This window comes from Homo sapiens, chromosome 12 (genome assembly GCF_000001405.40).
Source record: "Homo sapiens chromosome 12, GRCh38.p14 Primary Assembly".
NCBI lineage: Eukaryota > Metazoa > Chordata > Mammalia > Primates > Hominidae > Homo > Homo sapiens.
In genome coordinates, this window is record NC_000012.12 from 48,670,510 (window position 1) to 48,696,712 (window position 26,203).

A 26,203-nucleotide genomic window follows, 5' to 3' on the forward strand; every position below is an offset into this window, starting at 1 on the left:
GTTTGCATCTTAGTTTTTAACAGAAGTTTAAAAGGATTTTTTTTTAATTAAAACTAGAAAAGCTTATAGGGATATAAAAAAAATTTTTGTACAGCTGTACAGTGTTTGTGTTTTAAGCTAAGTGTTATTACAGAGTCCAGAAGTTTTTCTTAAAAATTTTTTTAAGTTTATAAAGGCCAGGTGCAGTGGCTCATGCCTGTAATCAATCCCAGCACTTTGGGAAGCCACGGTCGGAGGATCACTTGAGCCCAGGAGTTCAAGACTAACCTGGGCAACATAGCGAGACCCTGTCTCTACAAAAATTTAAAAATTAGCTGAGTGTGGTGGTGCATCTGTAGTCCTAGTTACTCAGGAGGCTGAGGCAGGATAGCCTGAGTCCAGGAGTTGAAGGCTGCAGTGAGTGAGGACTACGCTACTGCACTCTGGCCTCAGTGACACAGCAAGATTCTGTCTCTTTAAAAAAAAGCTTATAGGCCAGGCGCAGTGGCTCATGCCTGAAATCCCAGCACTTTGGGAGGCCAAGGTAGGGGGATCACTTGAAGTCAGGAGTTCCGAGAGCAGCCTGGCCAACATGGCAAAACCCCCCCTCTACTAAAAATAAAAAAATTAGCCGGGCATGGTGGAATGTGCCTGTAATCCCAGCTACTTGGGAGGCTGAGGTGGGAGAACTGCTTGAACCTAGGAAGCAGAGGTTGCAGTGAGCTGAGATCATGCCACTGCACTCCAGCCTGGGCAACAGAGTGAGACTCCATGTCCGTCTCAATTAAAAAAAAAAAAAAATGAAAGTAAAAAAGTTACAGTAAGCTAAGGGTTAATTTATTATTGAAGAAACTTTTTTTATAAATTTAGTACAGCTTAAGTGTACAGTACTTATAACGTCTAAAGTAGTAAATAATAATGTGCTAGGCCTTCCCATTGACTCACCACTCACTCACTCGCCCAAAATAACTTCCAGTCCTACAAGCTCCATTCATGCTAAGTGCCCATTTTTAAAATCTTTTATGCCATAATTTAACTGTACCTTTTCTCTGTTTAGATGTGTTTAGGTACACAAATACCACTGTTACAACTGCCCACAGTATTCAGTACAGTAACATGCTTGTACAGGTTTGCAGCCTAGGTATGTTGCAGGCTATACCACCTACGTTAGCGTGAGTCACTCCATGAAGTTTGAATGACAAAAATCACCTAACAAAGTATGTATCCCCATCATTAAGTGACACATGACTGTACTACCAAATTCACATGTTAAACCCACAACAGCTTGTTGGAACTGGCATAAAACTTGCCTAGAGCTTCATGTTCCACTTTGCGATTATGTAAGTATCGGCGCTTCTTCTCCTTGAGCAGATGCTGAAGTCGTTTAAACTGATCAATATACAACGACTGCAAACGAATTAGCTTTTCACGCATAATCAGGGCCACTTCTTCTGCTGTGTAGACACCAGCATGTCTGGAATAAAACAGAATTCAGCAAAGCATAAGAAAACAATAATAATAAAACCCAAGTTTGAAAGAGTAGAGATGTCAGACTAAGTTTGTTATTTAACAAGTGGTGACATAATCACCTTAATGTTTTTGCAAAACATTGTACCATTCAAGTTGTTATTAAATAAAACAAAAGAGAAAATCTCCAAGAAAGAATACTAATCTGTGATTTCCCAAAATGGGGGAAGGAGAAATGTCTTATTTTTCCCAGCTATTTGCATTATGTTGAAAAGAAAGTGAACATGCGGAACACTTTAAACTTTTATTAATCTACATTCTTAATGTTTTGATATGAAATCATCACTTACCAGTCAAGACAGCTTTAAAGTGTTCAATTAACATGTATCTTTCACATATACATATATACATGTATATATACGTATATATATATACATGTATATATATATATACGTATATATATATATATATATATATATTTTTTTTTTGAGATAAGGTCTCACTCTTGTCACCCAGGATGGAGTGCAGTGGTGCAATCAATCACAGCTCACTATAACCTTTGCTTCCTGGGCTCAAGCGATCCTCCCACGTCAGCCTGCCGAGTAGCTGGGACTACAGGTGTGCACCACCCCACTTGGTTAATTTTTGTATTTTTTGTAGAGATGGGATTTCACCATGTTGTCCAGGCTTGAACCCCTGGGTTTAAGCGATGCTCCCGCCTCAGCCTCACAAAGTGCTGGAATTAAACGCATAAGCTACTGCACCTGGCAATATATTTTAATTAAAGCACTAAAGATACCAACATCAAATAATTTTTTTTTTTGAGACAGTCTTGCTCTGTCACCCAGGCTGGAGTGCAGTGGCACAACCTTGGCTCACTGCAACCTCCGCTTCCCAGGTTCAAGTGATTCTCCTGTCTCAGCCTCCCAAGTAGCTGGCATTACAGGCACCTACCACCACGCCCAGCTAATTTTTATATTTTCAGTAGAGATGGGGTTTCTCCATGTTGGTCAGGCTGGTCTTAACTCCTGACCTCAGATCGATCTTCCAGCCTCGGCCTCCCAAAGTGGTGGGATTACAGGCATGAGCCACTGTGCCCAGCCAAAATTTGTAATTGTTTAAAAAATATAGGCCTATATTGGAGCTCATATGGACCCTCAAATAACTAGTCAAAATGGGCTATACCCTGTCCTCAGCTAATTTTCTTGACAATATTCTCAAAATTCAGTACCCTAGGTTAACCCTTAATTGCCAAAGATCTGGCACGGATCCATATCAACTTGATTAAGCTTTGCTGCCAATTATAAACTAAAAGAATATCTGGCCAGGCACGGTGGCTCACACCTGTAATCCTAGCACCTTGGGAGGCCAAGGCAGGCGAATCACCTGAGGTCAGGTGTTCAAGACCAGCCTGGCCAACATGGCGAAACCCCGTCTCTACTGAAAATACGAAAATCAACCAGGTATGGTGGTGGGCGCCTATAATCCCAGCTACTCGGGAGGCTGGGGCAGGAGAATTGCTTGAACCCGGGAGGCAGAGGTTGCAGTGAGCTGAGATCGTGCCACTGCATTCCAGCCTGGGTGACAGAGCAAGACTCCATCTCAAAAAAAGAAAAAAAAAAAAAAAGAACTTCTAAAAGTTTTGCTAGTGATTAATATATGGTAGACTGTTCTCTGGCTCTGATTTATGCAATCAAAATTAAGAGATGAGGCCAGGTGTGATAGCTCACGCCTGTAATCCCAGCACTTTGGGAGGCCGAGGCAGGCAGATTGCTTGAGCCTGGGAGTTCAAGACCAGCCTGGGCTGTAACATGATAAAACCCTGTCAATACAAAAAATACAAAAGTTAGCTGGGCACGGTGGTGTATACCTGTAGTCCCAGATACTCAGGAGACTGAGGTGAAAGGATCACTTCAGCCTGGGAGTGGGAGGCTGCAGTGAGCTGAGATGGCGCCACTGCACTCCAACCTGGGTGACAGAGCAAGACCATGTCTCAAAAATAAATAAATAAATAAATAAATAAGTGAATAACTTTGAATTTTAAAAATTTTGTTTCACTCACCGTCTGATCATTACATAAATACAAAGAACAAGCTATATACCTTAAGTTTCATACTGAGTAAAAATTTTATTGAAAAGGCAAAACACATAAATTATACTAATTTTAAGTCAAAAAATTATGCTTTATTACTTTTTCGTTTTTAAGACAGAGTCTTGCTCTGTTTCCCAGGCTGCACTGAAGTGGCACAATGTTGGCTCACTGCAACCTCCGCCTCCCGGGTTCAAGCAATTCTCGTGCCTCAGCCTCCACAGTAGTTGAGATTGCAGGCGTGTGCCACCACACCTGGCTAATTTTTTTATTTTTTGTATTTTTAGTAGAGATGGGGTTTCACCATGTTTCCCAGGCTGGTCTCAAACTCCTGAGTTCAGGCATTCCACCCGACTCGGCCTCCCAAAGTGCTAGGATTACAGGCGTGAGCCACTGTGGCCAGCCTCTGCTTTATTTTTAAAAACTAGCTGTTAAGGCACTGAAATACACAGAATATACAAAATTAACTTTAGGACTGAGAGCAAGTAATTTCTGCCAAAATTTCTTCATAAATATAAACAAAAGCCAATATTACCTGTGTATAAGAGGTACTTAACTATATTCTGAAGTAAAAGTGAAAAGAAATTAAGAAAAATCAAAACATGGTTAATAAAACCAGCAAAGGGCCAGGTGTGGTGCACAAGGCCAAGGTGGGTGGATCACTTGAGGTCAGGAGTTCGAGACCAGCCTGGCCAACATGGCAAAACAGCCTCTCTACTAAAAATACAAAAATTAGCCAGGTATGGTGGCAAGCACCTATAATCCCAGCTACTCGGGAGGCTGAGGCAGGAGAATCACTTGAACCTGGTAGGCAGAGATTACAGTGAGCCGAGATCGCACCACCGCGCTCCAGCCTGGGCGACAGAACGAGACTCTGTCTCCAAAAATAAAAAATTAAATAAAATAAACAAATTAAATAAATAAATAAAAATAATATATAATAAAATAAAATTAATAAAAAATAAATTTAAAAATAAATAAAATAAAATAAAACCAGCAAATTACAGAAATGACAAAAGCTAACAGACTATCAGAAAATGTGAAAAGGCTTTAAAAATATGTAACAGTTGGCTGGGCACGGTGGCTCAAGCCTGTAATTCTAGCACTTTGGGAGACCGAGGTGGGCATACTGCCTGAGCTCTGGAGTTTGAGACCAGCCTGGGCAACATGGTGAAACCCCATCTCTACTAAAATACAAAAAAAAGAAAGAAATTAGCCGGGCACAGCGGCGTGCGCCTGTAGTCCCAGCTACTAGGGAGGCTGAGGCAGAAGAATTGCTTGAACCCAGGAGGCAAAGGTTGCAGTGAGCTGAGATCGTGCCACTGCGCTCCAGCCTGGCAACAGAGTGAGAGTCCGTCTCAAAAATAAATACATAACGGTTTCACAAGGTGACTAAGTTACATCTTCAGAAAAATGGGTTATGCCTACATTAACCTGTCTGTAACCTAAAATACTGAGGCCTTAACCTAATATAGAGTTTGTTAAAATGAAATTCACTTTTTGAATACTGAAAATGAGAAAAATAAAAATTGTTTTAAAAAATTAATTTCACTGCACCCTGTCAGAAGAGAATTTAACCAATGGTCTGGAACTGAAATGTACCTATCTGAAGCCATTACTATTAGAAGTTATTAGAAATCATTTGGTGGGGGCAGTAAGCAACCTACTAAATGAATGCCGGCTGGTTCATGTAACAGATGGCTCATTTACTTAAAGATGAATGCGCCAGACTTTCAGAGCCGGACATTAAAATTATGTACTAATTCCCCTTGCTCTGGTATGCACAAATTAAAGTCAAGGTTTTATTATTAGCATTCATCTTCAAAAAAGAGGGTCTCACCTTATATTCTACTAAATAGTCTCTCTTATAAAGGGCATTCTCCAAATTTATTTGGAAAACAATGATGAAGATTCAATAATGTGAAATAACCTTCAGCCAAACAAGTTATAGATGTTTATAGAGGTCATATGATACAATTATTATTTAAAAAAGGGAAATGAAAATTTAACAATTACCTTAAGGATAAAATTTCTTAAGTATTAGATGTTGTAGACAAGCTTTTATTTATTTTTTCTGTGTGTATGAGATAGGGTCTCCCTCTGTTGCCCAGACTGGAATGCAGTGGCACGATCACAGAGCCTCAACCTCCCAGGCTCAAGCCATCCTCCTACTTGAGCCTCTCGAGTAGTTAAGACTACAGACCACGTGCACCACCACGTCTGGCTAATTTTTAAATCTTTCGTAGAGACGGTGTCTCCCTATGTTGCCCAGGCTGGTCTCGAACTCCTGGGCTCAAGCAATCCTCCCACCTCGACCTCCCAAAGTGCTAGGATCACTGGGCGCACTGGTTCGTCCCTGTAATCCCAGCACTTTGGGAGGCTGACGGGCAGATCACCTCAGATCAGGAGTTCAAGACCAGCCTGCCAACATGGAGAAACCCCGTCTCTACTAAAAACACAAAAATCAGCTGGGTGTGGTGGCGGGCACCTGTAATCCCAGCTACTCGGGAGGCTGAGGCAGGAAAATCATTTGAACCCGGGAGGCGGAGGTTGCAGTGAGCTGAGATCGCACCATTGCACTCCAGCCTGGGTGACAAGAGTGAAACTTCGTGTCAAAAAAAAAAAGTGCGAGGATTACATGCGTAAGTCACTACGCCTGGCCATAAACAAGCTTTACTTTTAACAAAACAATTAAGTAAGTGGTTACTTTGAGGGAAATCATATATATACTAACAGGAAGTTTAAAAAATCTATGCCAACAATATTCTAGTTAGGATCAAGTCTCTAGCAACATCATAAACAATATAAAATTGCCCTTTGTGTAACAAGCAATTGAAGATAAATGTGGTTAAACTATTAGATGATTCAAAAAGTGATCCTATTGATGACAAAGACACTGGTGCCCTAAGATAAAAATTCTTAATGAAAAGAATTTTACTCAGTGGACATACTACTAAATTACTATATTATTAAATATAAGAAGATAGTAATATGTAATCATAAGGAGACACTGAACAACTCTATTTACATGCCTAAAAATGCATAAATTTAGTGGGTCTAAATTTTTTTAAAAAATAATCTCACTGAGGAAAATTAACGAAAGCCTTATACTTAGTTGCCTAATAGCTGACCATATTTGGGGCTTTATTTTCTCTTCTGAACATGTTTCCTCTAGGAGAGAGTGACATCAACTGCCTAGTACTTTCCACATTTGTATTTCTCATAAAATGACCTGGTATTTTGGTTTATACAGCAGCCTCCTGTAAGTTAAATCAGCATCCATGTGCCTCCTAGAGACTGATCCACTCTAGATTACTAACAAAATCAAGTTTCTCGACCTTAAGCTGAGTGTTTACCACACCAAACGACACTCCCTTTGTAACCCTAGAGAGCATACATCTCTTCAAAGCAGCAAGTTTGGCCATCTAGAACCACAATGGAAAAAAAAGGAATGAAGCTGGGCCTGATGGCTCATGCCTGTAATCCCAGCACTTTGGGAGGCCGAGGCAGGTGAATCACGAGGTCAGGAATTCGAGACCAGCCTGGCCAACATGGTGAAACCCCATCTCTACTAAAAATACAAAAAATTACCTGGGTGTGGTGGTGGGTGCCTATAATCCCAGCTACTTGGGAGGGAGGCTGAGGCAGGAGAATTGCTTGAACCTGGGAGGCGGAGGTTGCAGTGAACTGAGATCATGCCACTGCACTCCAGCCTGGGTGACAGTGCAAGACTCCATCTCAAAAAAAAAAAAAAAAAAAAAAAAAAGGAATGAATATGTTGGTTTAAGTTACTATTTGTGAGAGAATCCTGCAAGAGAACAGTCATTCCCTTTCCAACTACTTAGATGGGTTTTCTAAACTAGTACTTCCTGAATAGTTGACCACAGTGAGATTACTCAATAGAAATGGATGAAATTATTCTACTCAGAAAACGTAACCCTAACATACGGCCATACTATCCGGAACATGCCCAACCTCCTCTGATCTCAGAAGCTAAGCAGGGTCAGGAGAAAATGTAACCCTAAATGACTTCTTATAAACCAAAGAATCCAAAGTAATGAAGAAAATGCTATTGCAAGAACAAAAGCCCAATAGTCAATCTAGAAATTACCCCTTCCACTATTTACAGTCCCTTTACATAAACTGTCAGTACAAAGTGTTAAGACACAGAAGTCAGCAGGCAAACATTTTTAAAAACTACACCCAGACCTTGAGACACAGAAATATGAGACTCCAGAGTGGTAATGTTTTTATGCTTCTACAACTCCTACGGTGATGATGGGTTAAGTGAAGAGCAGAAGCTTACTAAGATATAAACCTGATTAAGATATAATCACTTTTGGGTTTCTAAATCGGTTTCTCTTTCTTAGGCATGAAACCAAACTCTTGAATACCTTTTTATTCTTCTTTTTAAAAAAAAAATCCACACACAAAAAAACACTAAATGCTTGAGCTGATGAATATGCTAATTACCCTGATTTGATCATGACACAAGGTTTACAAGTATCCAAACATCACACTGTACCCCATACATTGTACAATTGTCAATTTAAAACAATATATAACTTTAAAAAATTTATAAATCCCATAAACACGACATTTTGCAGAAGTATTCAACTACAATCACATTATTCCTGAGGTTTAGGCCAAGCACCCATTCACAACCATTTTCTCTTCTCTAAACTGGTCTGACCATTTCTCAATCCACCTCCCACACTCCCATGTCTAAATTTCCTGTTTTCTCCCCTATACTTTCTCATACGTAGAATTTGGTGTTCAAACTTTTTTTAAATTACAAGGCTTCTAAAAAAGAATCATCCTGCCTTGAAGCAAGACGACAATGAACCATGCCACTTTTATATACAGAACCTCTTACTGCTGACAAATAGCTGTCTTCAACCCTCCTAGGTTACTAATTTATTAACAGCATGCAGCACTACATTCCACATACTAACTACATTTCAAATGCCTTATGTGGAGTTACAACTTACTTTAGGGGATCTTCTTGATCACTGTCTATGCTATCAGCTTCACTGTCAGGGTCACCTCTCCATGTCTGATCCACAGTAATGGGTTCCTGCTCCCCATCACTCCAGCTGTCTTCATCTGAGGCAAGGAAGGGAGAGCAGCCATTAAGACTTCCCACCTCTGTAACTCCACCACACAAAACTAGATTACTTTTATCAACCCAAACCTTGAAATTTTAAAAACAAAACAAAAAAAAAAACACTTAGTACAAAGGTACTGGCAAATAAAAACGCTTTAAGAAAATACAACCCAAGTAAGATTACTTACAACATAAATGAGTAAACCATGCCCTCTCAAACAGAAAAATCAACTTAAAATTACTGTTTCCTGAAATTACCTAACAAAGCTGCTGAGCATTAAAAAAGCAATGAAAGAAATGGTCACCAACTCAGGAAAGTAAACCTAGGCAAACACAACTTCAAATTCAAAAGAACTGGTAAACAACAAAGCAATCCCAGCATTCTCACCAAATTCCTGATGAATTAACAATATTGCCAAATAGATCAAGGCATTGTGCTAACCCAAAATAGTTCCCCCTTAACTTTCTTCCTCCTTTTTCATTCCAGGAGAGAAGGTCCTTACCTAGTATTCGGCTGGCTTCACTGCGACTACTTTCTGGAGTCTGAGACCCCAGCTCTGTCTTAGCATATGAGCTCAGCTGGCACAGGAGTGTTTCACCCACAGGCCCTGGGTTGGTCTTCTTCATTTGAGCATGAAGTGCCAGGGCATTCCTACGGACATGTTCAGCACAGAAGGACACCCTGAAGAGACAAAACATTAATATTTTATAAGTTCCTTCTTGAAAGCGTTCAATAATGTTCACAGTCCCTAATCTTTAAATCATTTTTAGGGAATTAAAATGACTATTACATTCATTTCTAAAAATGCAAGTCAGAGGAATTTAACTGGCCCAAGGTCAACTCATTTGACTTTATTAAAGGGAAATAACAGGACGGATGAAGTGGTTCACCCTTGTAATCCCAGCACTTTGGGAGGCTGAGGCAAGGGATTGGGTCTTGCTCTGTTGCCCAGGCTAAAGTGCAGTGGTGCAATCATAGTTCACTGTAGCCTTAAACTGCTTGGTTCAAGCGATCCTCCTGCCTCAGCCTCAAAGTAGCTAGAACTATAGGCATGCACCACTGTGCCCAGCAAATTTTTTTTAGTTTTTTGTAGAAACGAAGTCTATGTTGCCAAGTCTGGTCTGGAACTCCCAGGCTCAAGTGATCCTCCCACCTCAGCCTCCCAAGTAGTGGGGACTACATGTCCACGCCACTATGCCCAGCGAGTTTTTTAATCTTCTGTAGAGACGGGGTCTCACTGTATTGCCTGGGTTGGTCTCCAACTCCTGGCCTCAAGTGATCCTCCTCCCGTGGCCTCCCAAAGTGCTGGGATTACAGGCATGAGCCACTGCGACCAGCCAGGGACACAATTTTAAAACTATAAGATACGTAAAAAATTATCTAGTCAGGTTATGTTTTTGCATGGATACCTTTGCATACATGATGAAAACTATGAAGCCTCTTACAGAAGAATACACACATATATAACTTTGCATGTTATTTAACAAAATTCATGGACAGCCAAATAGAGCCACACACCCCTCCATTAAGAAGAATTTTAGGGGCCAGGTGCGGTGGCTCACTCCTGTAATCCCAACACTCTGGGAGGCCGAGGCGGATGGATCACCTGAGGTCAGCAGTTCAAAACAAGCCTGGCCAACATGGTGAAACCCCGTCTCTACTAAAAAGTACAAAAATTAGCCGGGCATAGTGGCGCACGCCTTAAGTCCCAACTACTTAGGAGGCAGGAGAATCGCTTGAACCTGGAAGGAGGAGGTTGCAGTGAGCCGAGATCTCCACTGCACTCCAGCCTGGGGAATAAAGCAAGAATCTGTGCGCCGCCCCCCCGCCAAAAAATTAACTTTAGGGCCGGGCGCGGTCGCTCACGCCTGTAATCCCAGCACTCTGGGAGGCCGAGATGGGAGGATACCTTGAGGCCAGGAGTTTGAGACCGGCCTGGTCAAAATAGCAAGACCCCATCTCTCTTAAAAAAAAAAAAAAAAAAAAAAAGACTAATTTAGAATATGCCTTTATTTTACAGATAAGGGAAAAGAACCAAAGAGGTGAACTAAGTAATCCAACTCAAGGGTCTTTCCAGTCTTCACCGTTTTTTCAGTTTTCCAAGGATACAACCATAACCCCAAATTTACAAGGACAAAATCTCAAACGCGGCAGCTATGCTGAAGCCCGCATCATATCACATACCCCCTCGCTTTAAGAAAAACGACATATATATCTATACATATATACCCATCTTTCTTCTCTGGCTTTGGGGCAGCATTGGGACATCTTTTTCCATTCTTCGTCGATATATAACTACACTGCTTGAAGGGTGCATTCTTGTCTTCAAGGATATGCTTAATGCAAAACTCCTGCCCCTCCAGACGAGGGTGAGAGCATGGACGATGAGTGAATGCACAAGACAGAGGTTCCTGAGACCTGGGCACTGGAGTGATCCTCCCCCGATTGGTTGGCAAGACGTGAATCCGAATCCTGTTCATAACCAAAACCTGCGGGGTCAAACGAAAGACCAAAAAGCCCTTACCCTTCCCGAAAATTCCTGCTCCACACAGATCGCGCGGACAGTTTCCAAAGGACATGCAGAAGTCGTCCCCGTAAGGTACGCTCCGTAAGTCCCCGCCGCCCTCCCCAAGTCTCCACAGGCATCTGTGGCTTTGCCTCCCTTTAGCGTGTCCCTCCATGCCCGGCCCCACCCCGAACCACACCACGCTGAATGTATCTTCAGGACTCGCACAGCTGCAGCACGAAGGGAAGCGACAACACCAGCCCCACGCGGCGGCCACGCCGCCTCCCCGCACGCCGCCTTTGTCCCGGCCTGCCTCAGAGCGCACGACTGGGCCTGGCCTCGGAAGCCTATGCGAGCGCCATTTTGTCCTACGGCTCCAGTCACCGGAGATCCTGGCTCCTGGAAGCCTGCAGGAAGGAGACTGACTCTGACACTGCTTTGAGGCGGAGTAGCAGCTCTGAGCTGACAAAAAGAGCGAAATAGCAGCCCAACCGCAAGAGCTTAGAGGAAAGAGCACCGCCATCTTACCTCAGGAGCTGCGCTGCGCCGCACTCTGCCGCGCCGCTCGCCCTTCTCTAGTGGCGCCAGCGGCTCTCAGATCGGCCTCGCCCCTTTCCGGACTCCTGGCTACTCATTGGCTACCGCTCGTATGACAGGATGTCGCCATTGGCCGAGACCAACTACCTATCGTGTCTGGGAGGGCGGAGCGCTGAGAAAATGCGAGGTTGGGGTGGCTAAGACAGACTGTCTGTCAGCAACTCCGCCCGGAGGAGAGTGAGCCGGGGAAGGGGGCGGAGAGCGGGCTGCGGGGCGGGTTGCCAGCTAATATTTTTCCACCTTGCAGCGTGGCTCGTTTTCCGGCTACTTTTGGACCCTCAGTCTGTGGTCCTAGGCTGCTGTTCCCTCACCACTGTACACAGCTAGTATAAAATCAGACAGACAGGCCGGGCGCGGTGGCTCACGCCTGTAATCCCAACACTTTGGGAGGCTGAGGCTGGCAGATCACCTGAGGTCGGGAGCTCGAGTCCAGCCTGAGCAACATGGAGAAACGCCGTCTCTACTAAAAATACAAAATTAGCCGGGCGTGGTGGTGCACGCCTGTAATTCCAGCTACTCGGGAGGCTGAGACAGGAGAATCTCTTGAACCTGGGAGGCGGAGATTGCGGTGAGCCGATATCGCGCCATTGCACTCCAGCCTGGGCAACAAGAGCGAAACTCCGTCTCAAAAAAATATATAAATAAAAAATAAATCAGACAGAGGCTGGAGGATCACTGTTTACACATAAAAAGTCTTTAGCTTTCTTTTGTGAACAGTTCAATACATGTACTGAACATTTGGTATAGAGAACACTGAGAAACATTTTTTGGGTGTTTACTGATTCTGGGAATTACATGTATAAAGTCATTGAATTTTTCAAAGCAACCCTAAGAGGTACAGGTTAGTATTATGTCCATTTTACAGATAAGAGGACTGAGGAACAGAATGGGACCATAGCTATTAAATGGGAAAGGAAGACGAATTTGAACCCAGCCCGCATTCTTTATCCCTTATTGCCTCTTATATAGTAAAGAGCATTGGACTGAGAATAAGGAAATATTTGTTCTAGTTTAGGGCTGCTTCTCATAACTGTGTGCCCTGTCTTTAAAATTCCATGCTAAATAATGCAGGTATCATAAAAATGACAGACACAATACCAATCATACCATCCTTTAAGGATTTTTAGTTTAAAAGCATCTTTCTGTCATCTCCACCACTTGTAGAAATGATTCCTAGCTTTCTTCCCATAACCCTTCTAGACATTTTTTGCTTTCCAGCATCTCTTATCTCCTCACTGTCAGTTTAAGAAAGATGTTTTATCCATGCCTAACGAGCAAGTGAGCATGAGTCCCAGTGGAAGTGAACATAAAGATTCCACAGCCCTCAAGAAAAACACTAAGGCTGGGCGTCATGGTTCACCACTGTAATCCCAGCACTTTGAAAAGCTGAGGTGGGAAGATCACCTGAGCTCAGGAGTTCGATCCCAGCCTGGGCAATATGGAGACACCTCATCTCAAATAAATAAATAAATAAATAAATAAATAAATAAATAAATACACTATAGGACCGATAAATTATTAAAAAAAAAAAAAAACCTTGGGGGTTGTGCTGTTTCCAGAGACTAGAGCAGCCCTAGAAGAAGGCCTGAAATTCATTCATTCAACGAATATTTATTGAGCACCTAAGTGCCAGGAGAGAACAAGGAAGATAACCCTGCTCTCTTGGAGTGAACATTCTAGGATAGCTTTGGATTATGGATGCAATACAAACATAATATTAATAACAATGATTTATATACATAAGCAAACAGACCAACCCTCAGGAGTACGAAAAAAGATGTTTTGTTATAAACACCCTATAATTAAAAAACAGCCAGAGGCAGTCATGTCACAGAAAATTTGGGAATCCGAATCTGCAACCAAATGTAGTAATATCAAAAAGCAACATTAAAACTACTGTAGTGAACAATATGAAGAGACACAGGAATAGATGGGGAAGAAACAAAAGACTTTCTTTCAATGAATTTACTGAAGGTCTTAGTTGAAAAAAGAATCCTTCTTGTAAGTCCAAGACAGACAAAACATTACTATTTAGAACCACTTCTTTTTTTTTTTTTTTTTTTTAGCGGGAGTCTTGCTCTGTCGCCCCGGCTGGCTGGAGTGCAGTGGCGCGCGATCTCGGCTCACTGCAACCTCCGCCTCCTGGGTTCAAGGGATTCTTCTTCCTCAGCCTACCCCCCAAGTAACTGGGACAACAGGTGTGCGCCACCATGCTCGGCTAATTTTTTTATATTCTTAATAGAGACAGGGTTTCACCATATTGACCAGGCTGGTCTCCAACTCCTGACCTCGTGATCTGCCCACCTCAGGCTCCCAAAGTGCTGGGATTACAGGCGTGAGCCACCATGCCCGGCCTAGAACCACTTCTAAGTGAAAGGAGGGAGCAGATATTAAGAGCTCAAGATGTCAGCAAATTCTTTGTTCTGTTTAACAAAGTAGATGGCTTTTTTTTTTTTTTTGAGATGGAGTCTTGCTCTGTTGCCCAGGCTGGAGGTAGATGGTTATTTTTAATTCACTGAACACTTTGTAGCTATTGAAGAGGTTAAAGTAGACCAGAAGCTATTTGTAAATAGGGATTAGGAAACTAGAGTTTGGGGGGCTAATCCTAGAGAAAAGTGAGAAAAAAGATGAAAACGGCTGGGCGCAGTGGCTCACGCCTATAACCACAGCACTTTGAGAGGCCGAGGCGGGTGGATCACCTGAGGCGAGGAGTTCAAGACCAGCTTGGCCAACATGGTAAAACCCCATCTCTACTAAAAGTACAAAAACTAGCCAGGTGTGGTGGCATGTGCCTTAATCCCAGCTACTTGGGAGGCTGAGCAGGAGAATCATTTGAACCCAGGAGGCAGAGGGTGCAGTGAGCCAAGATTGTGCCACTGTACTCCAGCCTGGGTGACAGAGCAAGACTGTCTCCAAAAAAAAAAAAAAAAAGTTATCAAAGACCTTCACCTTGCTAATTCTAATGAAGTTTTCAGGCATCATCTTATTAGACCACTTTGCAATGTCTAACACACTTGGCCACTCCTCCTCCTTAGAACTCTATACTCTTTCTAGATCTCCATACTCTTCCTAGTTTCCCATCTACATCAGTCACCCACTCTCTGTCTCGTTTCTCTTTTCCCCAATTCTAAACACTGAACATTTCTATTTTCTACTACTACTTCCTTAGTTATCTCACTCTGTTTCATCCCATTCATAAGCTGTTATCTCCCAAATGCATATATCCAGCCTGGATCCCTCCTTTGAACTTGACTCTCTAGTCATCTGTCCAGTAGGCATCTCCACTTGGATGTCTAATTGGCATTTCAAATTTAATGTTAAAGCCAACCTCCCGCTACTCCCGTAGTCATCTCTACCTGAGTATATGACAACCCCAACCTTCCAGTTGGTCAGGACAAACACTGGGAGTTATCCTTCACTTCCTTCTCTTCCACCTCATAGCAAATCCTATTAGCTCCATCTTCAAGCTGTATCACTTCTCGGCTGAGCAAGGTGGTTCACACCTGTAATCCCAGCACTTTGGGAGGCTGAGGCGGGTGGATCACCTGAGGTCAGGAGCTCAAGATCAGCCTGGCCAACATGGTGAAACCCTGTGTCTACTAAAAATACAAAATTAGCCGGGTGTGGTGGCACATGCCTGTAATCCCAGCTACTTGGGAGGCTGAGGCAGGAGAATCGCTTGAACCTGAGAGGCGGAGGTTGCAGTGAGCTGAGATCACGCCATTCCATTCCAGCCTGGGCAACAAGAGCAAAACTCCATCTCAAAGAAAAAAAAAAAAGATACATCACTTCTCATTACCTTGGGTACTTCCAACCTGTCCAAGCCACCCTCATCTCTTACCTAAATTGTGAGAGCTCCTTGCCCTTGACTCCTATGATCTATTTTCAACACAGCAGCCCAAATGAACATTTTAAAACCTAAGTTGGATGTCATTTCCCTTCTCAAAACTTTCCAATAGCGTCTGTTCCATTCACTGTCTTTATACAAGGTCCTGTTGTATCTGGCTTTCTATTGCCTCTCTAACCTCATATCCTGCTACTCTCCTCTCTCCAATACCCCCTCCCCACTCATTCCTATACCAGCTACACTGGTTTCCTTGCTATTTCTCAAACATACCAGCATATTCTCACCTCAGAACCTTTGATGTCTCACGTTTCCTGGAATGATCTTATCCTAGTTATTCCCATGACTTGCTGTCACCTCCTTCAGGTCTTCCCTAAAGGTCATGAAGCTTCTGGTCATGAAGCCTTCCCTAGCCACCTTTTTTCCAATTCCCACAGCCCTAGTTACCTAAACACACACACGTGCTCACACACACACATGCACACACACATCCCTATCCCCTATTCCCTGTTTTAGTCTCCAAAGTGCTTATTATGGCCAGGTGTGGTGGCTCACACCTATAATCCCAACAAGAGTGAAGGAGGCCCAGACGGGCAGATCGCTTAAGCCCAGGAGTTCAAGACCAGACTGGGCAACATAGGGTGACCCCATCTCTAAAAAAATTAGCCAGGCGTGGTGGTGCACACCTGTAGTCCCAGTTACTCAGGAGATGGGAGGATCACTTGAGCCTAGGGAGGTCAAGGATGCAGTGAGCTGTTATCTCACCACTGCACTCTGGCCTGGGAGACAGTGAGACTTCGTCTCAAAAAAAAAAATTTTTTTTAAGTGCTTATCACCACCTAACATACTATGTTTTACTTATTTGTAAATTCTTTGAAGGCAGAATGTTTGTTTACTGCCATATTCCCATTAGTACAGTCCACAGCACTTAGTTTTTTTTTTTTTAACTTTTTTTTCCCGAGACTGGGTATAGATCTATAGCCCAGCAGGAGTGCAGTGGTCAATCATGGCTCACTGCAGCCTCCAATTGCTGGGCTCAAACAATCCTCCCTCCTCAGCCTCCCTAGTAGCTGGGACTATACACTACTGTGCCTGGCTAATTTGTATGTCTGTGTGCAGAGATGGGGTCTCACTTTGTTGCTCAGGTTGGTCTTGAACTCCTGGCCTCAAGCAATCCTCCCACCTCAGCCTCCGAAAGTGTTGGGAAGTAGGTATTATTTTCTAAAGAAGGAATGAATGAAAAGCAGGGGAGTGCTTCAAACCACACCAGAATTCCTAAACTGTCAGCATCTTCCTATTCTATCAGCAACTTCTGCAAAGATTTCCGATTTCATATTCTTTTCAGGAGCGGTATACAGTTTGTAAAATTAGCTACCTTATTTTAGAAAACAGAAGAAACGACTCAAGTGACTTTTCAGAAGTATCATTATTTATTTTTTTCCTTTTAAAGCTTTCAAACTATATCTATTACTAACTTTGTGTAATAAGTATGGAGTACTTTAGCATAAAAGTTCTTTATTTTCAGTGTGTAATTTACAAGAGTTACCTTGTAAATGTGGTTTTATTACGTCTCAGGATGAGTATTCACTATCAATTTTTCCAGGCACTACCAAGAATGTTTTTTTCTTCGAAGTGTATTTTCCTCCAGATACAATGCTATGTCTGTACTAACATGTCAGGCTTTTCAAAGAACCACGTATACAATTATGAATCATGTTGATAATGCTTGCTAGATAAGCAGTACATGCTGCCATCATCTGTTAGTGCTATAATTTTTTTTTTGTACAAGTTACTCTTCCAGGTATTCATGTAACAATACAGAGTGAGGGTTTTTTTCTTCCCTTTGACTACAACATACTTTATACTACTGGGTTTACTGATCGACAAATCTTGGGTCTTTCCAACGGACTCAATTCCCACAGGATCTTGCACAATAAGAAAACAGACTAATACCAAAATTGAAACAAAATTGTAAACATATCAATAAAATTACAGTTAAAGACTAAGGACTAGGCTGGACGCGGTGGCTCATGCCTGTAATCCCAGCACTTTGGGGGGCCGAGGTGGGTAGATCACCTGAGGTCAAGAGTTCGAGACCAGCCTGGCCAACACAGTGAAACCCCGTCTCGACTAAAAATACAAAAATTAGCTGGGCATAGTGGTGGGTGCCTGTAATCCCAGCAACTCAGGAGGCTGAGACAGGAGAATCGCTTGAACCCGGGAAGCAGAGGTTGCAGTGAGCCGAGATCACGCCACTGTACTCTCCAGCCTGGGTGACAGGGCTAGATTCCGTCTCAAAAAAAAAAAAAAAAAGACTAAGGACTAATTTGAGGACAGTACACATAAACAACAATCAAATGAGTGTTTTACCATTAACATTTATTGATGGGATGGATAAATACAGATTGAGAAACATACTTGACAGCAAGATATCAAACTGATAGCCAGACTATAAAATGTATACATCCTTTTTAAATTTTTTGAATTTTTTTACAAAGAGCCCTTACTATAATGGTCACTTACCTCCTATCATTCACATAACAGCAGTAGATATCCCAGGGGTAGCATCCAGAGCTGAGGTGCCCCAAGGAAGACAGAGGCAATGGCAGAATAATATGCTGAGAAAGGACTCTTAAGAGCAATACAAAGAGAACAGACAAAAATCTCACCACAAAATTGTACCTGAGTGACAGATTGGTAAAGTGTTTTACTTTTTTTTTTCTTTTCGCTCTTTGGTCTGACAAGAAAAGAGTTTTAGGTGTGTGAAGTAGGGTGGGAAAAAAGGTCAGTTTCAAATTCAGTAACATATGGTAACACTAAGTTAGGCTGCTGCATTCTTTTCTTTGGGTACTTAAGCCAGCTGGCACTTCCACTTTGTAACCAATTATATTATGATCAACAACTAATCAGTTAGTTCCTCAGCTTCAACTGAAGAGTTCCTGATTACCTGATGAAGGACATACTTGCTCTGGCTTCAATTAGCATGCTGTCAAGCATCCCTCTCCATGCTTAACATGGCAACACAAAACCCAAGAGTCCTTCTCTTTTTTTCATTAGCCATGAATAAACACTCACAAAGGGGAAGAGTAGACACTGCTTTTAGTAAACGTCCTTTTTCTTTACCTCCCTTTTCCAATGCCAAGTTCATATGAAAAACTTTAGAAACATTAAAATGGAGAACTCTCTCACCCAAAAAGTAATTCTCATTCCAGACTACTCTATCAGGCAGGATTACTGTACCGTGCTTGTTTCAAACTCACATCCACGGAGGGATAAAAAGACAAAATAAAACTTGACAGTGTGATACAACATGAAAATCTCCTAAACCATCAGGAGCAAACACTCAGTTAAAAGCTGGGTGTTAACAAGCAGCAACTCAAGAAACTTGGGGAGGTATCAAAGTCACTGAAAGCTTACTGGAACCTCGGAGGGCTATTTCTCACCATTTGATGAGTTGCATAGACTGCTTAAATTCTCCCAAGACCAAAAGAATAAAATTTGTATTTCAACTGCAAGATGTTCTAGATTCTCTCTTTTCTTAGTATCAAAATAACTCATAAACAAAAAAAATTGTAAATATTAATCAGTTCCCAAAATAACGGAAACACAGATATGTTTAAAATCCAACCATACTGGGATAGACAGGGCCCCTCTACAATTGCCTTTACTTGGAAGCCATGTATGTGGAGGAGTATGCATTTCAATATGGAGAATTAAGTAGCAGAGGTTTAAGATAACTCAGCAGTGATGTCACCATGATTTTATTTCCATATCCTAATCCATTGCTGTTTGCAACTGGAGATTTAAAATTTTTCTGTCAACACTGGTAAAGCCAATAATACTGAACTATGTAGTATACACTAAATCAAAACACTAAAATCATTTTTAAAAAGGAAGAAAAAAGAAGTTGAGGCTCTCTGATATGGACATACACTGATTCATGAATGGGAAGACTAGACTAACACCTAAGTATTTTCTAAACTCAAAAGCATAACTGATACTTCAGAAGACCGATTTGGATCGATGCTTCACTACAGTTCAGCTAACAGCAACACAGGTATCTGATTAAAAGCCTTAAGGACAATCCACAGGTATTTGTTTTTGCCAACACGAGTCTAGCAAAATTTTAGGAATGAGATTTACAGAAGCTGAGGCTCCAGGCCTACTTATCACCATCACTTATTTTTGACAGTCTAGGTTACATGGAGAAACAAAAAGCCATATTTATCAGACTAACTTTGGATGTATAAATCTCATTTCTCACCCTTTGAAGGTACAAGGATAGGAAAGACACATAGAGCTCAGAAACCACACAGCCCTTAAAAACCTTAAGTTTATGGAATTTGGACAATACACATGCTAGTTGACAGGCACATCTGTTAACCCAAAAACAAAGCAGCAGCTTCATGCAGAGCCCACAAGGAGCTTCATGACATATGCATAGATCTAAAAACAGACACTGTACGTATCTTAAGACAGTACCAGGAGGCATTAACACAGAAAGGTCTCTAAACTGACCTATGTCAGCAATGATCTACTAGTGCAAAGGCCGGACTACACGGCACAAAGCAACTCTTAGGCCCTAGTAAGCACTTTTTTCTAGTTCACTCCTGGCAAAGTTCTAAGGAACTTTACTACAGTACGGCCATGGATAACTGCTATGAGGCCAAATGATTATGTGCCTCTGTGGTAAAGGAGTGCATGTGATTAGAAAATATGTGACATTTGATGAGAGTAACTAAAAGCTGGAAAAGACATTTTTCAAAATCAAACCAGTGATCATCAAGTCCACAAAGATACAGATGCAGACTAAATGGCACATTCCCTTTTGGAAACAGACTCCAACAAACAAAATCTAAATAAATAGAAGCCCTAAATGTACTAAACCACAACTATATATCTACCAATTATCTAACACAACATAGAAAATATCAAGGGGAAAGAGGAAAATGTCATCTATAAAGTGAAGTGACACTCTAAGTCAAGAAGTATTAATGATTTACAGGTCAACAGAGAGCTCCTCGTTTTATACCCAGCAATGGCAGGAACTCTAGACAGTTCAAATATGCAAGATGCAGGGCACTAACCCACCGTCAGTTAACGTTTACTCCTGCCTACAAATTCCTTTCTATATTAGGCCAGTACATCATCAATTCCAACAGCCACAATTTTCTTCCCAACCTGTTCCTGGCAAGTAGCAGCATAAGTACAACTCCTGTCTCCCTATGACTTCCAAATGAAAAATAATTCGACCTCTCCCTAAAAAATCCTTGGCATGAAGTAAGCTGCAATCAAATCATGAAAACAAACTCAAATTGAACCACCTTTTCCAGAGCAAAAAAAATGCAATGAAGATCAAAGAATATCTCATTAAATGATCTCTGGCTAGGTAGTTTTCAGTGGTTAGACAACTAACTTAGAATTCTTTCTAGCCAAGATTTTCTGAAAGATTTATTAAAAATGTTCACTCCTAATATCTGGGATAATCAAGCCTCCATAACAACAGGACTCTTGACCTATTTTTATAAAGGACTTAGAAATCTTAAGAACCTCGATCAAGAACCTAAAGCTACCAAAGATGAACAATCTAAACACAATAGTATCCATTGGCTAGGCTTTGCTCATTCTCATGGCACCAGTACTGTTAAATTCACAAGCTCCAATCTCAAGTCATATAGGCTGCAAAAACTTGAGGATGTAGCTGTTTCCCTTCGGATATACACATAAAAAGCATGTCTTACATTTATAATGTAATTTTTAAAACAATGTTCTAAACTTCCAAATCACAATTTCATTGTTTTTAGTATCCTCTAGCTTCTCCCATATGGTTTGGGCTTTCACAGGCAGGATATACATAGCACATTCCCCATCTCTTAGAGACCTTAAGACTGCTCTCATTTGAACACTTTCCCAAAGCCTCACTTGAAAAAAAAGACACACCCAATTCTGTAGGGCAGAAGCTGGCCTTGCTCGCCAACCCTCCTTCCTCAACCCCATCTCTGTTTTGCACAAAAACAAAAAAAGGGGTAAAAAGGAAGTTCTCATAATAAGGTTAAGAGTCAGGGTGTTGGCTGTACTTGCCCAAACTACAAATTAGAGGGCTACTACTCAATTATAACATAAAGAAAGGGAAAAATACCATGTCAAATACATGCCTCTTCCTTTATGTTCTCAAGGCCAACCATGTTTTTCTCTAGTAGACTGTTGGAAAATGAAAACGGTAAGGAACAGGGAGGGAAGATAAAACATTATTTTTAAACACACACACTTAAAAACACACATACCCACACTTACATACACACTTAAAAGTCTGAAAAAAGTGGCCTGAGCCTATTTCAGAACTCCTAGCCAAAAACCTAGCCTCCCACCCACCCTCACACATTCCCACCCTCCAATCCCACCCACCAGGAGTTACTGCTATGTATCATATACACACAGCAAAATCCCTATCCCCTTCCCAATTATATAAAAAAACTAAACAGATAACTTACTTTCTTTAAATTATTAAGTCTATTAAAAGATTTGACGTTTAAATACTTCCTCTCTTCTGATATATTAAACACCGAAAGGATCCACAATTGTCTGATACAAGAAACCCTCCATTTTTCAGCTCTGGCAAGAAGAGGGAAGATATCAACTCCAATCAACCTAATTAGATGGTGGAGAGGCCAAGAATTCAGAATGTGTCCTTAATCCTTCACAGCTTCAACACCTCTCTAATACCAGTAAAAACTGTAAGAAAATAGTTAAATGCATGAGACAGCAGATATATAGCCAAGGCCTTCTACCACCCTCCTAACTATGTCTCAATATCAATTTATTCCCTAGTCCAAGGATGACATATTTCATAAGTAATTTTCTTAGTCCAAAAAAAAAAAAGAAAAATTATGTGTTTTTTTAAAGAAGTTTTTTTCTCCTCTTCTTTTTCTTTTTTTACTTAGGAAGGGGTGGAAGTGGTGGAGGAGGTTCTGATGGCAGAGGTGGTGGCCGGGGTTTGTCTGTATTGCCAGATCTCGAGGAGATTCCACCAGACCGAGGATTCAGATAGTCACTATAAGGACGAACAAATTCAAATGCAGTGGGCTGAGTGGGCTGAACACCCTGGGCACTGAGCAGGGAGTGAAGCATATTCACAGTGTCTTGATAGTCTATTGTCTGGGTCGTGTTGTGACCATTGGCCCCAGTGGGCCCTTTATCCAGTTTCGAATGAGGGACACGAGTTTTACAGCTGGGCTGTGAAAAGGAAAGGCCACTTGTGTCTGAGCTATGCCCAGGCATCTGACCCATTGTAGGAAGTGAAGGGAAGGAGAAATTTAGGGAAGAGGATTTAGTACTCTTGGCAATCTTGGCTGGATGATCAAACACAGCCCCTCCAGTCTCTTCAGAGGGTCCCCTTTTACGAGTAGAACTGGAAGAGGAAAAAGAACTAGACAAGCTATAGGTTTTATGTGCTAAGTTGCTTGTCTGGCTACTATGTTTTGGATCACCAGGACGTTTGTTCCCAGTACCAACTGGAAGTTGGGAATGAGAGTGCTTGTGTGAGTGGTGATTATGATGATGATGATGATTAGATGGGTGAGTCTTGTGCTTTTCTTTGTGCTCTCGGCTCTTTGTAACACTGTCCTCTACAGAATTGTGCTTATCAGCTGCAGCATGGACTTTTATGCGCATTTTTATCTCCTCTGGTTTTGAAGACGCAGCTTTATCTCCACCTGCCACTGGGATTCTCATTTTGAGAGCTGTTTTGTCAGCCTTTTCCAGAAAAGGCCGCTCGGGGTTTTCTGAACCCTCTATGGGCATTTTTAGAATGACTGAAGAATGGCTATCATGATGAGAAAGGAGATTCTGGGCAGCATATGCATATTGTGACTTCACATTGGCTTCCATGTTCTCCAGTTGCCTCTTCTGGGCAGCCAATTCTTCTGCATGCTTCGCGCGGTATTCTTTCAGTGACACTTTAGCTGATGGCACACTCTTACTATTCTGCTTCTGGGAAATAAATGCATTTGAACCATCCTGTGGTAAGGAATGATCAACTCCTGTAAGTGCTAAATTCTCACTAGTCCGATGACCCTGAGTAGGTTCTAGTTTGAAAGAAGGTTGGGAGGACAGCCAACGCTTGCCCGGCAACATCTCCACACTGGTTAAGTTGCTGGATGACTCTTCGGAGACTGGCAGGGAAGGCACTGCACTTGTGGTAGAAGTTGACATGCTCATTAAACCTGCAATGGTTGTGTCTGAAGAGCTCTGGGAAATCATATTGAGGATTGTCTGCTCTGAAGTCTTTTCATCTGTTCCTCGGTCATCTGCTTTTGTTTTCTTGGCAGCCTCGCATGCCTGCAATGAAGCAAATAGCATCTCTTTACTTAGGTAATTTACTAAATAAAAAAACACTGAGATGAGTAGATTGTACTTGCAGCAACACTGGAAGTTCTGGATAGGCCACAGGCAGGAGGCTATCCTAACATGTAATCCAATAAATATTACCATCAAGAGAAGATTTTAAAACCTTCAATTAAGAGTCACAGCAATCTATCCAAACGTTACAAAGCAATAATAACAACAAAGAATCTATGCTTATCTAAAATTCATACATGAACATCCATGCCTTCGCTTATGATTATAGTTAGTCCATAACTGAGTTCTAGAAATTTTGGTGAGGTTTTATGCTAAAGTAAAAGATGTGCTCTCAAGCCTACTTCTTTTTTGTTGTTACTGTTGTTTTTTGTTTGTTTGTTTGTTTGAGACAGAGTCTCACTTTGTCATCCAGGCTGGAGTGCAGTGGCACAATCTCGGCTCACTGCAACCTAACGTCCCGAGTTCAAGCGATTCTCCTGTCTCAGCCTCCCAAGTAGCTGGAACTACAGGTGTGCATCACCATGCCTGGCTAATTTTTGTATTTTTAGTAGAGACGAGGTTTCACCATGTTGGCCAGGCTGGTCTCGAACTCCTGACCTCAGTTGATCCGCCTGCCTTGGCCTCCCAAAGTGCTGGGACTACAGGCATGAGCCACCATGCCCGGCCTCTCAAGCCTACTTCTAATCTCAGGCTTCTAAGAGGCAAACTCACTCTCTGCCACTCACTCAACTCAGGAGAATGAAATTAACTTTTTCTGTCTGGATTTAGGAGAAAACAATGGAAACATTTTAAAACAAGTTTTATATCTGACAGAAAAAAAAGGAATGATTCCATTATTCCTGAATAAGGCTTTGACAAGTATTTGAAATACAACTTCAGACTACAGCCTATATAAAAACAAAATTCTAAAATCCATTTTAAAAGTAGGTAATGTCAAACACAAAACTGTGATACCGGCTCTAACCTTGTAATTCTCTATCTTGCCTCTACCAGAAGCCAATACTCTAACTCCGAGAAGCCATGTTTTTTCCCTACCAGTTTCCACACAGAAAATACTGAACCAGTGTTACTGCTCAAATGATCATATCACAGGAGTTACACAATGAAAAGCAAATCCTGCTATCCCATAGAGACACTGACTTTTACAACAGTATCCAAGGTATGAAGTAGAAGTCATGATTACTGTGTAACTATAAAAAGGGCAATTCCAAACCTAGGGTACATATTCAATACTGGTATATTCACTGGTGCAGTCAAAAGAAATTGATTTTGTTCCACAAGCTGACAGTAATGATTCTTACCCTCCAATTCCAAATGCGTTTGAGCCTGTTGGGAGTTTTCTCCAAAATCTGTAGAAACTCATGTGTCAGTTCTACAAGTAAAACAGAACATTCAAGAAAGACTGAGAGAAACAGAAGTAATGAAACAAGAATAACCTGAACTACTAACTAACTATTTTCATCTGAATCAAGTCACCTTTGGCCAGCTATGTGACAGATCAACAGCAAGTGCTTTTCAAGGTCCCTTACTCTAAAACTTACCATCTAAAAGTTCCAAGGTCACAGTGGCGTCAACATACTCCCACCAGTGCTTCCCGTCAGTTGAGACTGGGATCTCCCAATTGGACCACTTGCAAGCCAGGTGAATGCAGACACAGGCCACCACAGGAGGTGTGTACTGCAGGCTAAATGTGGTCAAATGCAGGCTGACATCAGAGGGAAGAAAACAGAGAGTGTCATGAGCTCTCAATTCTCAGCCCAAAGCTAAAACTCTCCATTATTTAAAAAAAAAAAAAAAAAAAAAAAAAAAGGCTTAAAAATAGACAGGAGAGTAAGAAGGGTAAGAAATATGCAATGCTCTGATCTAGCACTCAATATAATTTCCTATTAACCCACCTGTTCAGGTAACAACATTTTAAAAACTCTTGAATTACACATCACTTAATCTACACATTGACCAGAGCCAAAAAAAAAAAAAAGGAAAAAAGGAAAAAGGCTGGGAATTCAAGTTCTTTAAAACATTGACTTCTGGGCCAGTATTCAAGCCTAGAAGTCAATATTTATTACCTATTATCCTGAGACTAAGCTCAGATCCTAAGGAAAATTGTAAGCTTTTTGGTCTGTGTAATCCGTAAATCAAAAACTTAAGGAAATATCTTAAAAATAATTTGTCTCTCACCAATCATAGTTCTGGTCTATTTAAAATAATAAACAGACAACTACTCTCTCAAGTATAAATATGTTGGTTTATTTCAA

At 41.5% G+C, this 26,203-nt stretch overlaps 2 protein-coding genes across 9 annotated transcripts in view, besides 3 other annotated features; both read right to left on the reverse strand.

Moving 5' to 3' along the window:
• The window catches only part of KANSL2 (KAT8 regulatory NSL complex subunit 2), a 29,028-nt gene extending 17,299 nt beyond the window's left edge, over positions 1–11,729 (reverse strand). Inside the window, exons 1-5 of the mRNA NM_017822.4 lie at positions 11,678–11,729; positions 10,873–11,132; positions 9,146–9,324; positions 8,527–8,641; positions 1,290–1,453 (exon numbers count right to left, since the gene is read on the reverse strand). Of these exons, the coding sequence (NP_060292.3) occupies positions 1,290–1,453; positions 8,527–8,641; positions 9,146–9,324; positions 10,873–11,123 (709 nt within the window). The 5' untranslated portion in view covers positions 11,124–11,132; positions 11,678–11,729. The remainder of the gene's footprint in view (positions 1–1,289; positions 1,454–8,526; positions 8,642–9,145; positions 9,325–10,872; positions 11,133–11,677) is intronic.
• Positions 11,427–11,696: an enhancer, noted in NCBI's record as "active region_6285". NCBI's record gives its function as "activates an Ori minimal core promoter by ATAC-STARR-seq in GM12878 lymphoblastoid cells {active_cell/tissue: GM12878}" and the evidence as "EXISTENCE:reporter gene assay evidence [ECO:0000049][PMID:35858748]".
• Positions 11,777–11,986: a silencer, noted in NCBI's record as "silent region_4409". NCBI's record gives its function as "represses an Ori minimal core promoter by ATAC-STARR-seq in GM12878 lymphoblastoid cells {active_cell/tissue: GM12878}" and the evidence as "EXISTENCE:reporter gene assay evidence [ECO:0000049][PMID:35858748]".
• Positions 12,027–12,076: a silencer, noted in NCBI's record as "silent region_4410". NCBI's record gives its function as "represses an Ori minimal core promoter by ATAC-STARR-seq in GM12878 lymphoblastoid cells {active_cell/tissue: GM12878}" and the evidence as "EXISTENCE:reporter gene assay evidence [ECO:0000049][PMID:35858748]".
• CCNT1 (cyclin T1) overlaps positions 17,949–26,203 on the reverse strand; it is a 28,250-nt gene continuing 19,995 nt past the window's right edge. For 3 of the 8 annotated variants that reach the window (NM_001240.4, NM_001413198.1, XM_017020197.3), the window contains 3 exons: positions 25,490–25,653; positions 25,250–25,320; positions 17,949–23,927 (listed from right to left, as the gene is read on the reverse strand). In NM_001240.4, the coding sequence (NP_001231.2) occupies positions 22,524–23,927; positions 25,250–25,320; positions 25,490–25,653 (1,639 nt within the window). In that variant the 3' untranslated portion in view covers positions 17,949–22,523. Of the gene's footprint in view, positions 23,928–25,249; positions 25,321–25,489; positions 25,730–26,203 lie in introns of those variants that run through there. The other 5 variants (NM_001413199.1, NM_001277842.2, NR_182119.1 and 2 more) reach the window with 4 other exon arrangements.